This window comes from Homo sapiens, chromosome 4 (genome assembly GCF_000001405.40).
Source record: "Homo sapiens chromosome 4, GRCh38.p14 Primary Assembly".
In the NCBI taxonomy this organism is placed as follows: domain Eukaryota; kingdom Metazoa; phylum Chordata; class Mammalia; order Primates; family Hominidae; genus Homo; species Homo sapiens.
Genome location: NC_000004.12, coordinates 106,265,363 through 106,278,443, shown reverse-complemented (window position 1 = coordinate 106,278,443; position 13,081 = coordinate 106,265,363). Strand labels below are relative to the sequence as shown.

At 34.2% G+C, this 13,081-nt stretch overlaps 1 protein-coding gene across 22 annotated transcripts in view, besides 1 other annotated feature; it reads left to right on the top strand.

The window, feature by feature from the left end:
- The window catches only part of TBCK (TBC1 domain containing kinase), a 275,085-nt gene that overhangs the window by 38,240 nt on the left and 223,764 nt on the right, over positions 1–13,081 (top strand). The gene's annotated exons all lie outside the window — the stretch shown is intronic.
- Positions 4,174–4,676: an enhancer, noted in NCBI's record as "NANOG hESC enhancer chr4:107194925-107195427 (GRCh37/hg19 assembly coordinates)". NCBI's record gives its function as "activates a minimal SCP1, AML or CMV promoter by ChIP-STARR-seq in primed H9 embryonic stem cells {active_cell/tissue: H9 hESC(primed)}" and the evidence as "EXISTENCE:reporter gene assay evidence [ECO:0000049][PMID:30033119]".

Sequence of the window (13,081 nt, the reverse complement as noted above, 5' to 3'; positions counted from 1 at the left end):
GGGATTACAGGCACGCACCACCAGGCCTGGCTAATTTTTTGTATTTTTAGTAGAGATGGGGTTTCGCCATGTTGCTTGGACTGGTCTCTAACTCCTGAGTTCAGGCAATCCACCTGCCTCGGCCTCCCGAAATGCTAGGATTACAGGCATGAGGTGCCGCGCCCAGCCCATGAACTCTTTATTTCTTTGTTTTGATTCAAGTTTGATATCCTGTCCTTTCTGCCTGAAAAACTTCATTTAGTTTTGTACTTTTTTAGATCAAGTCAGATACTTACAAATTCTCACAGATTTTGGTCATCTGAAAATGCCTTCATATTACCTTATTTACTTTTTCTTGGCTATTATTTTATGAAAAAATGCAAATAGTAAAATTGAAATAATTATGCAATATACCTAGATTTTCTAATTAACATTTTAATTAAAACTAACTTTAACTATTTTAACATTTAATTGTAGCTAAATTTAACCCATCTTTATTATTTTGATGTATTTCAAAGTAATTGCTGATATGAGGACACTTCATTCCTAAATAGTTTAGCATGTATACAACTAACTACATTTCAATATGTGTTTATGTTTTAGTTTTAGGTTAAATTTACATTTGGTGAAGTACACAAACTTTTTAAGTTTACATTTGATGTGTTTTTACAAATGTATACACTTTTATAAACTAAATGCATTAAGACTAGATTACCACCATTATCTGAGAAATTTTCCTCATGTCCCTTCCCAGTAAATCTCTGCACCTCCCCTCCTGCAGTTTCCAAGCAACTACTTTTCTGATTTTTTAATCGTGGGTTAGTTTTGTTTATTCTAGCACTTTATATTATTGGAGTCATTCAGTATATACTGTTTTGTGTAAGACTTCTTCCTTCATTCAGCATAATTTCTGAGGGTCATCCATGTGGTTTCATGTATCATAGTTCATTTGTTTTTGTTGCTGAGTTGTATTGTGTTTTATAAATATATTTGTTTTTCAATTTTCTCTTGTTGAACTTCTTGGCTATTTTCAGGGTTTTGGCTATTATGACTAAAGCTGATATAAATGCCCTGTTAAGTCTTTTTTTTGTGGCCTTCTGTTTTCATTTTTCATGAGGAAATACTTTGAGCAGAATTGTTGTGTTATAGGATATTAATCATGTGTATGACTAATATTTTATAGAAACACCATTAGACCTTTTTCCAAAATGTTATACCTTTTACATATTTTCACCAACAATATATAATTTCTCCACATCCTTTCCAGGAGTTGATGCTTTTAGTCTTTTACTTTTAGCCATTTGTACAAGGTATAAAGTAGTATTTCGTTATAGATTTACTTTGCATTCCCATGATATTCAAAGGATATTGAGTATTTTTCATGTGCTTATTAGGTATTCATATCATCACATATGTATTTGTTCAATTTTTTGTCATTTTAAGTGGATTGTTTCTCATTATTGATTTGTAGGCATTCTTTGTGTATTCTCTATATTCTACATACATATTGTTAGATTTTTTTGCAAATATTTTCTGCCTCTTTGGCTTGCCATTTTATTTTATTTATTTATTTTATTTTATTTATTTTATAATGGAGTCTCACTCTTGCCCAGGCTGGAGTGTGCCTGGAACTGCACCGCCTCCTGGGTTCAAGTGTTTCTTCTACCTCAGCCTCCTGAGTAGCTGGGATTACAGGGGCCCTCCACCACGGCCGGCCAATTTTTGTTTTTAGTAGATATGTGGTTTCATCATGTTGGTTGGCCAGGTTGGTCTCGAACTCTTGACCTCAGGTGATCAACCCACCTCAGCCTCCCAGAGTGCTGGGATTATAGGCGTGAGCCACACTGCGCCTGGCCAGGCTTGCCTATTTTTTAAAGATATATTTTGATGAGCAGAAGTTATTATTATTATTGTATTTAGAGATAGGCTCTCACTGTGTTACCCAGGCTGGTCTCGAACTTCTGGGTTCAGGCAGTCCTCCTGCCTCAGCCTCCCAAATAGCTGGGACTACAAGTGTGTGCTACTGCACCCAGCTTAAAAGTTACAGTTTGTGATCAAGTCTAATGTGTCAAATTTTTCTTCTGTGGTTACTGCTTTTTATATCCTGTTTGAGAAACCTTTGCCTACTCCGAAGTCATGAAGATATTCCCATATTTTATTCTAGAATCATTATAGTTTTCGATTTTATGTTGGCTCTATGATTCATCTCAATTTAATATTTGTATATAGTGTTGAGGTTACTTTTTCCCATACTGATATCCAGTTGCCTTACCTCTGATCGTTTAAAAGAATTTTCATTTTTGATTGCATTCCTTTGGTGCCATTATTGAAAATTAAAAGGCCATATAAGTATAGATCTGTGTCTGAGCTTTTTGTATTATTTCATTGCTCTATTTTTCTGTTCCTATGCCAGCATCATAACATCTTGATGATTATAGCTTTATAGTAAATCTTCAAGTCAGTAAATATAGATTTTCCAATTTTGTTCTTCTGTTTCAAGATTGCTTTAGCTATTTTTGGTTCTTTGTATTTTTATATAAATTTTATAGTAAGTTTCTCAATTTCTAAAATTTCTGTTGGCATCTTGATTGAGGTTGCGTTGCATGTATGGATCAATTTGGAAAGAACTGATATCTTAAAAATATTGAGTCTTCCACTAGATTAACATGTTATTTCTCTCCAAATTTTTAAGTCTTCCTTAGTATCTCTCAACAGTGTTTTATAGTTTATGATGTAGAGTTCTTGCTTTACTTTTTAAAAATTTTTTCCTAAGTAGCTTATGTTTTTGATATGATTGTAGGTAAAATTTAGTTTTATTTTCCAATTGTTTGCTGCTAATATATAGAAATATGTGAATTTTTTATATTGACACTTTCTCTGTAACTTTGCTACATTATATTTACTTATTAGTTGAAATAGTTTTTTGGTGGATTCCTTAGGATTTTCTACATAAACAACCATATCATTGTTGAATAGAAATGTTTACAACTTCTTTTTTAACCTTTATGGCTTATATTTCTTGTTCTTGACCTATTTCACTAGATAGGACCTCCACTACAATGCTGAATACAAATATTGAATGGTCAATATTTCCTAGTTTTTTATCTCAGGGAAAAATGTTAAGTATTTCACCATTATATACGGTCTTAGCTGTAAGGTTTTTATATATGCCTTTTATCAGATTGAGTTAGGTACTCTTATATTTCTAATTGGCTAAGGGTTTTTAAAATCAGAAGTATTTAATGTTGTTAAATGTGTTTTTGAATCTCTATTGAGACTATGATATGATTTTTCTTCTTTAATGAATATGTAAATTGCTTTGATTTTGAATTCTTTTTTTGTGTGTATGTGTGACAGGATCCTGCTCTGTCATCCAGGTATGATCATAGCTCACTGCAACCTCTAACTCCTGGGCTCAAGCAATCCTGCCTCACCCTCCCAAGTAGCTGGGACTACAGGCACACACCACCACACCTACATACTTTAAAGCTTTTTGGTATAGATGGGCTCTTGCTGTGTTGCCCAGGCTTGTCTTGAATTCCTGGGCTCAAGTGATCCTCTCACCTTGGCCTCCCACAGCACTGAGATTACAGGCCTGTGCTACCATGCTCAGCTGATTTTGAATTCTTAAAATTGAGATGTAATTCACCTGTTAAAAATTCATGGTTATGAAAGGGAAAATTCAGTGGCTCTTAAAGAGCCACTTCACAAGATTGTACAGCCATCACCATTGTCTAATTCTAGAACATTTTCATCACTCCAAAAAAGAATGAGCAGTCCCTCGCCTTCTCTCTCCCCACCCCTGGAAACCACTAATCCACTTACTTCCTGTATGAATTTACCTACCCTGACCTTTTCATATAAATGGAATTATACAGTATATGACTTTTTGTGCTTAGCTTCTTTCACTTAGCATAATGTTTTTAAGGTTCGTCCATGTTATAGCATGTATTAGTACTTCATTTATTTGTATTGCTAATTTTCTACTGTATGTCTTTACCATAGTTTGTTTATTCATTTATGGGTTGATGGACATTTGGATTGTTTCTACCTTTTGGCTGTTATGACTAATTTTGCCATGAACATTCATATGTATTTGATTGAATACCTGCTTTTAGTTCATATTGGAATGGAAATTTTAGGTCAAATGGTAATTCTATGTTTACCTCTTTGACAAGCCATTTCCAAAGATAGCCCTACCACTTACTATCCCACTAGCAATGCACAAAGGTTCCATTTACCTCACATCCTTACCAACATTTGTTATTTTTCATCTTTTGATTGTAGACATCCTAGTGGGTATGAAGTAGTATCTCACTGTAGTTTTCATTTGCATTTCCCTAATATAAACAATAATGTATTGTTCTTTGTCCCAAGTTCCTGGCCCAGAGCTTCAAAAACCCTTGGAATTTCCTGAGTAATAGGATTGACTTGTTATTCATGATGGCTTCTTTAAGCCATAGCTGAGTATTCTGATGAGGTGACACTTGAAAGCCTCTAGCTTCAGGATGGGGGCTATTTCGAAAGACCAAACATGTGATGGAAAGTTGGAACATTTTATTAGTTTTCTATGGCTACTGCAACAAATTAGGTAGCTTAAAATAACAGACGTTTATTCTCTCTCAGCTCTGGAGGCCAGAATTCAGAAAACTTACTGTGTTGGCAGGGTCACACCCCCTTTGGAGGCTTTCAATAAAAATCCTTCTGTTCCTTTTCCAGTTTCTGGTGCCTGTTGGCATTCCTTGGCTTCTTTGGCTTGTGGCCACATCACTTCAATCTTTGCCCCTGTCTTCACATCACCTTCTTTGTGTGTCTTCTCGTCTATGTGTCTCCCTTTTATAAGAACGCTCGACATTGAATTTTGAGCCTACCTGGATAATCCAGGATGATTTTCTCAAATGAAAACACCCTTTTTCCAAATAAGGTAACATTCAGAGGTGCCAGGGGTGAGGATGTGCACAAATCTTTTTGGGGGCCTCCTTTCAGACAAGCTAACCAGCAAATAAACAAAAGATACATACTCTAAAAATATTATTTCAAATGCAGAAAAGATTTTCTGTTAGATTTCAATTCTACTTGCTGCCCCTATAAACAAAGTTCATTTTCTTTAGAAAAGAGGTCAGGAAAAAAAGTTTTATTTTGTTGTTTCAAAGTCATTGCTGTGAGGCATATATCTCATATGATTTGTATAAAAATTTATTATGTCTAAGATTTAGATATCCCAGTTAATATCAGATCTTTTCAAGAGGAACTTCATCTTAAGTTGTATTCCTTTTACATTTTGTTGTTATAGTTACAATTGTAAAGCCAAGGGTTGAATTTTCATCCATTTATCCAGACCCAGTCTTTAATTTAGTCACAAAGTTTGTGACTTAAAAATCTGTATATTACAAAAGGTGGATAGACCTATTAAAGGGCTATACTTATAGTAGTGGTTGTGGTATGGTTATCTTTATCATTGCTATTATTTTAACTGTTACTGTAGGTAGGTAGAAATACCAGGTTATTCAATGGGACCTACTAGACTATTCAGTTAAGTGAACCCATAATTGGGATTTAAATTTTAAACTTTTACCCTGTACTTACCCACGCGATTGGTTTGCTTTGCTTATATTCTATTACATCTTTGCTATATGCAAAATACCCTTAACTGTAGTTAAAAGTTAAAGAGGCCAGGCGAGGTGACTCTTGCTTGTAATCCCAGCACTGTGGGAGGCCGACGTGGGCAGATCACGAGGTCAGGAGATTGAGACCATCCTGGCTAACACGGTGAAACCCCATCTCTACTAAAAATACAAAAAAAAAATTAGCTGGGTGTGGTGGCATGCGCCTGTAGTCCCAGCCACTCGAGAGGCTGAGGCAGGAGAATGGCATGAACCTGGGAGACGGAGCTTGCAGTGAGCCAAGATCGCACCTCTGCACTCCAGCCTGGGCGACAGAGCAAGACTCTGTCTCAAAAAAAAAAAAAAAAAAAAATTAAATAAACAATGACTTTGGAGCTGAGTAAGCCTAGATATTTTCTTAGTTGAAAAAAAAATTGTCATCAGCGTCAAAAGAAATTAAGTTGATGAGTTCTTTCTATGAACTTATTCTTGGAAGAGAAAGGATGATGGGGGCTATACACACATTAAGAAACGTATGTAGCACGGAAAGAAACCAATATTTGAGTACCTACTTTATACCAGGCTCTATAAGCATGTTATATTTAAACTTTACCACATAGCTGTACTGGCGGTTATTATTACTTCATTTTAAAGATTAAGAAAGATACTTAGAGGTTAGATGACAATTAGAAAAAGATAGCCCAGGGGTTTAAACTTTGTTCTGTTTAAATCTAAAACCTATTATCTTTGTTCTATACTATACCTTCCTGTATACCTGAAAGTGAAACAGGTTCATTTATATTCGCCTTCTACGACAGCGGTTCTCAAAGTGTGGTTCATCATCATTATCACCTGGGAACTTATTAGAAATATAAATTCTTGGGACTCATCTTAGATACTATATCAGAATTGCAGGGAGTAGAACCCAGCAGTATCTATATTAATGAGCCCTTAAGGTGATTCTGTACCATTGCTTTTGATGAAAGGTTCTTAAAATTCTTCCATTGGTGGGAAACCTAGAAATCAATGTGCTCTTTGTAGAACAATATGAGATACTGACTTATACAACTTAAGAACAGTTGTTTTTTTGTTTTGTTTTTTTTTTTTTTTGGGACAAAGTCTTGCTCTATCGCCCAGATTGGAGTGCAGTGGCGCGATCTCAGCTCACTGCAACCTCTGCCTCCTGGGTTCAAGCAATTCTCCTGCCTCAGCCTCCCAAGTAGCTGGGATTACAGGCTCCCACCACCACACATGGCTAATTTTTGTATTTTTAGTAGAGATGGGGTTTTGCCATGTTGGTTAGTCTGGTCTGGAACTCCTGACCTCAGGTGATCCTCCTGCCTTGGCCTCCCAAAGTGCTGGGATTACAGGTGTGAGCCACCACTGTTAAGAACAGTTTTAAAGTATTTGAGCTAAATTAGCTACCATCTTATAGATTCTGGTTGAAATAAGTGATTGCAGATATTGCACAAGAAAACAACACACACAGGAGAACCTAAAATTAAGAATCCATATTTATTAATATTATATTTTTTGTGAATTGGTAAAAGATAACTATTCTCCAATTTTTACACAGTATTCCTGGGTCATTATGGGATTATATGGATAAGAGCTTTTTCTTACTCTTTTTTGTGAAGCTTGCTGTAATTGGTATGATCTTCCTTATATCATAGTATTGAGAACTGAAAGTCTAGTTCAAGGTTAGGTGAAATAGACAGAACTAACTAATTCAAGGTGATCTGGTTTAGGGAAAAGTATTTATTTATATAGGTAAGCAGAACTCAGAGTTCTACATTAAAATTTGGAGACAAAGCTTTGGCTATTAAAGTATTATTTTGCTTTGTCTGCCTTCCTATTTATGAATCATAGGAAGCTTATGGAGTCTAGTAGAAGTAGTTAAGAATAAAATTTGGCTATTTTTGGATTTTCTGATCTAAATATAATCACTGTATCACCCCAACTGCTGACAAATACAAGGGACGTGGTAAATAGGGTTTTTTCAGCAATCATACTGGTCATAAGTTACTTAAGACAGACCAATACTTATTTAACTGAACATTTCAGTTTGACAAACTTTTGTTTACAATATGCTGTCTTGCAGATGCTGTAATAAGCAATCCATATTATTCAGGCCCTCTCCCATTCATTATTTGAGATGGGTAGGGTGATAAATTAGTCATCTAAAATATTAGTCCACTTAAAAATGTGAATTGGTCTCAAATCAAAATTCTGAACAGTAATAGAAATTTGTTTCTCTTTTTTTCACATGGCAATATATACATTAATTTTAATTTAAAAAACAACTTTGGAATGATGCAGGGTACAGATTTAACCCACTATATGCCATGATAAGTTCTGTCTTAGAGAAAAGTTGCAGTCTTCCAACATCCCAAATGCTGCCAGGGTATGGGGAGTTGGACTTATTACCTAGTGTGTTTGCACAGCCAGAATTAGTGACTATGATGACAAAAGAGGTTTTGAAGTTTCTGTGCAAGGATAGGAAAAAATGCTTAGGAGAAGAAAACATTGATGGGGCAGAAATATGCAGCCAATCTTGAGATCCTCCAGACCTGTGTATCAAATGGTGATTTTATTCTCACAGAGAAGTTAGAAAACGGTTCTTCTGATTCAGTTATGTCAGGAGAATAGTTGGAGAACTCAACTTGCAATTTTTGTTAATTTATAGGATATATACATATGATATAACAAAATATATTGTATAGTTTCAGAAAAACCCTGGGATTTTTGAGGGAGACTTGGACTTTTTGTTTATTTTGTTTTGCTTTTAAGATGATTAAGATTCTGTGCAGGGCCGATAGCTCATTGATCTCCATTTAGCTTCTGTTTGGTGTTACATTTTTTACTTTATAAATTTGCAAATGGAGGCAGGGTGAAGTTGGAACACTGTCTAAGCATAACAAATCAGTGACAGAGCCTCCTGGCTTTATGTCTGAACCTCAAACCGCTAGACTATGTTTTCCATATGTATTTGATTTTACCAAGTTAATTTTCTGCTGAGAAGAAAAGTTATCTAGTATTCAAGTTGGAAAGTTAATTTCCCAATTTATTGTCTCCTGTTGAGAATTAGACACATTCCAGACTTACAGGGTTCTATTTTGATTATTTTGGAGTTAAAGCTAAATTGTAAAATATGCCTAGTCTCACAACTGAAAGTCAGATGGACTGATTACTTTTTTTAGACTTACTATAAAACAATCTTTAGGTAGCAGTTTATCAATGCAATTTCCATTTCAAAACATCTGAATCTGAGGCAAATACATTCTTAAATTTAGCATGGATAGTTGTGTCCTTTCAGGCTAAAACATGTGTGCCCAGTACTGAAATGTGTTATTTCCTTTTTCAATTCCAGAAACTGTTGTATTTTTCATCCTTTTTGCTCTGTTAAATATTGTGGTATTTTTTTACAAAACATCAAAATTTAGTAAGTGATAAGTGTCAAATTAAAAGCCTCAAAGACACTAGCTCATCATTGGAAACACCCTCCCCAAATTCTGGAATTATAAACTAATGAGTCTTTAAAAGTTATATACTAGCTGAGCTCTTTTGTGTTCAAGTTATAAAGGAAAGTTTCTTTGAAGATAGCACAGAATTATTCACTTGTAATATTATCTGAACATTAATCATTAGTAAGCATTTTATTTTTCCTCTCCATTTCTTAAATTACACAGTAGCTAACCATTAATATATTTCATCTGTATTTCCTCTCTCTTAACATTTTAATTCAGGCTGATACCAAGTAAGGAATGTTTTAGACCAAAAGGAAAATTTCTGTGGGAGTGATCAGGTTTTATAAGGTGAAAGAACATCTTGAACTCATAGAATGCAGAAATGTGTTTCCTCCCTTGGTTAGCTGACACTATGGGTGTTTTGGCTTGTGGAGTGGCCCTTAGAAATATCATGGATCATGGATCTGAGGAAATAGCATGTGTGGTTTTAGTTATCACTTATACATGAATGATTTCCAAATCTATCTCAGCAACCTTGACCTCTCATTCTCTTTCCTGGCCCCTATTTCTTGCAATTTGAGTAACATCTCTTCTTGGAAATGTTGCAGATACCTAAAAGAGCTGATGGTTTGAGGCCAGTAGTAATCTCTCTCAACAATTTAGTCTAATTTACAGTTTTAGACAGATATTAACAAGATTATCCTGTTACCCAGTATATCCTGATTTATTCCTGTTTCTTTCAGTAAATAAAAGACTAGAAGAGTTGTATTTTCAGCAAATGAATTTTTTTTGTGGATAGCCATTGGGTGAACTTGAGCATCTTGTGTTTTCTTGACTAACTAAAAGATTATACATTCTATCTTGAGGTGTTATTCTATTAGTGGTAGAGAATTTAATTATCTTTCCCCCTTGTACCATTGTGTGATATTATTTTATATATGTATTTTAACACCTATTTTTAATACATGCTTATTGAACATGCACATTACAGACACTGATAGATATACGGAGTCATAGTTGAATAAGCTAGTCCATACTCAAGATACAGTGGGAAAGACAAGCTTATATAGAAATAATTACCATAAAATCTAGAAACCCTCAACTGTGTACTGTCGGAAATCAAGAAAGGGAGTTCAATTCTACCACAAGGGAGAGCCATTGAATGAGAACCCATTAAGGATCTTTGCAAAAAATTATTGAAATGGCAAACCATATCTGTCAGAATAAAGAATGATGTCAAAAAGGGGCCACTTGGCTGGGGTAACAGAGGAGGCTTAGAGAACAGGGACCCCAAGGTCTTGATGAGCTTAAAGAGTGGGTCCTCAGGAATGAGGAACAGAGAAGTATAGGAGGTAGTAGTTAAAAATTTGGATGTTTTAAGTAAATATAGGTTGTGCAGTGTCTCATTGTGACAGACTATCTGTATTTGGGAGTATTGGCTGGGGTTAGATGAAAACCTGTGGCTGTGAACATACGAAGTCTTCCATTCTGCTTAAGAATTAAATCCATGATCTTGGCCTCAGTATGTTTTAACCAACAACTAGAGATGATTTATGGACGATTTAATCATGAAGACAGTAAATTGCCTTTGAAATATATCTGGAAAGGGATAAAAAAATATACTTGGGATTATACCAACCTAATAGATTTGAAAATTTATTGAGCCATGTTGAAAATCCAAATACAACCAAGTTGACTCATACCTAGAAACTATCAACATCTTTTTTGGTGATGGTGGTGGTGGTGATAGTGTTTTTCTCTTTTAGATTTTAAGCTTACTTTCCCAAGATTTATGACTTTTGTAGGTCTCTTTTGGTCTCACCAATGTTATAAGTAAATTTTTATGTTTTATTTTTCTTTGAAGACAAAGGAAAATGATGAATAATTCTTATCTGCTTAGTTAATTGCTTATATTATAATTATCAGTTTGTAAATCTGTCCTTCTAAGTATACTATAGGCTTGTTTGTAGTGCAGATCAATTCTTCTTCTTGGTAATTGTGGGCCCAAAAATTCAGTAACAAACAAATAGCCACTCAATTGATATGTTTTAATATAAGTAAAAATGTCCTCAAATGTAATCTTGCTTTATTGGGAGTTATCAATTATATTATTTTGAAAGCTACCTTTTGGTCTTATCTGTATTTATAATCACTAGGGATTCTTATGTTCAGTTGTTCAGGACAATGATGACAAAGTAAACGCTAGCCACCCAGGCCCTGAAGTAACAATAATTACTGAAAAATGTCAAAAGGAGTAGAATATTTTTTGATTTAAAGTATAATTTTACATTTTCTTGGTTACTGACGGGTTTGTCTATTTAACAAGATTCTCACTTGGGAATTGTGTAGGATAAAGTCCCATTGTCCCCTGTCAGTATCTTTTTTATATAACTGTGTGAATCTAATTCTCTTAATCCTAAATCTTCTTTTAGTGTCCATGTTCAATTAAACTGTAACATGTTAACTACTACTAGACATATGATAGTTTTACTTTGCTGTTGCATTAGCTACTTAAAAAATTTCATGACCCAAGTTATTGGTAGTATTAAAGAATATAACTTAAAAAGCTAGTAAGTACATAAAATTCTGCAAATACTGATTTGTTCTTCTCATGGTATAAAATAGCATTTTTTGTTCCTCTTTATACCTTACATTTTAAAACAAATTAAAAAATCAAATTCTGAGAATATGAAAGGACAGAAAAGCAAATCAGATTGTAATTGACATGTACTCTCAAGTAATAGCTAAGAAACGGTATGTCATTTATGTTTGAATTTTTAAAAATTATTTTGGTATGCATGTTCATCAGCTCATTTTTAACATGAATGTGCTTTTTGACATGCAAGTCTAATGTCTAATAGCTCACAATTAGCAAAAGCACAGTATAGAGAGTAGAAAATGCAGTCTATGTGTTCAGTAGTTTCAGAACTTGTTCAATGGGAAAATCACTTTAAAGGTTTGGCTTTAATTTCATGAGAAAGACATCTATATTGAAGTAGTATGCAGCTGAGGTCCTCTAGTGTCATAGCTGAATATGGCATCAGTTTTTTGTGAGTTGTGTGAGAAACAGACAAGAACAAGAGAAGCTACTCTAAAATTGACTTGTAGAGCCAAATGAGTTCATAAAACTAGGTTTACATTTTGCTAATCTCAGGGAATGTTTCTCTTTTTTTTTAAGGGGAAGACTTTGTTTTCTTTCATGTGCACATATTTATCAATGTAATTGTGCTTTTACATAAAATCTTTGCCTCTATAACTATTGATAAGTTACAAATAATTTTTTTTAAGTTTGGAATATTGCCATTTATACAGTTAGTTTATTTTTTGAAGATGTTTATGAAAACTCTGTTTATCCCAAATTATGCTTGTTTCACACATTCCCTATTTGTTTAAGACTCAGTGATATGGCACTTTAATATGGGAGAAATTATTTGATAAAAAGGAATATTTTACAGTCAATTTAAATAGCATTCTTTATAAATAGTAACCCTCATTGCTTCTTTTTTACACACATTATGGGGAATATCAGCTTATTCCTTTACTTCAAAATATGACAACCAGGGATCGGATTACCAGAGGTAATATTTGAGGTAAAAAAATAGTTCGAGAAAAACAGAGCCTGGAGATGGGGTGGAGAGGGAGTACTCACCATAGAGGAAATGAAGATAATACTCTTTTCCCAGAATTAAAAGACTTCTAACTATTCTCAGAGATACTCAAAGGAATGATGTATCCATAACCAAAGAACAGTATCTATCGACAAGGAACAACTAGAGGACATAATAGAAATGCTGGAAATTAATGGTTTGGATTTCTCTCACTCTCTCTCTGTCTCTTTCCCTCTTGCTCTCTCTCTCTCTCTTTGGATCTCTGGATCTCTCTCTCTCCTGGAATTAAGTTATATAATAGATAGGACTAAAGATTATGCTCTTAAAACAGAAAGTTAATACAACGGGATGACTGTAGTCAATAATAATTGTACATCTTAAAATAACTGAAAGTACAATTGAATTCTTTATAACACAAAGGATA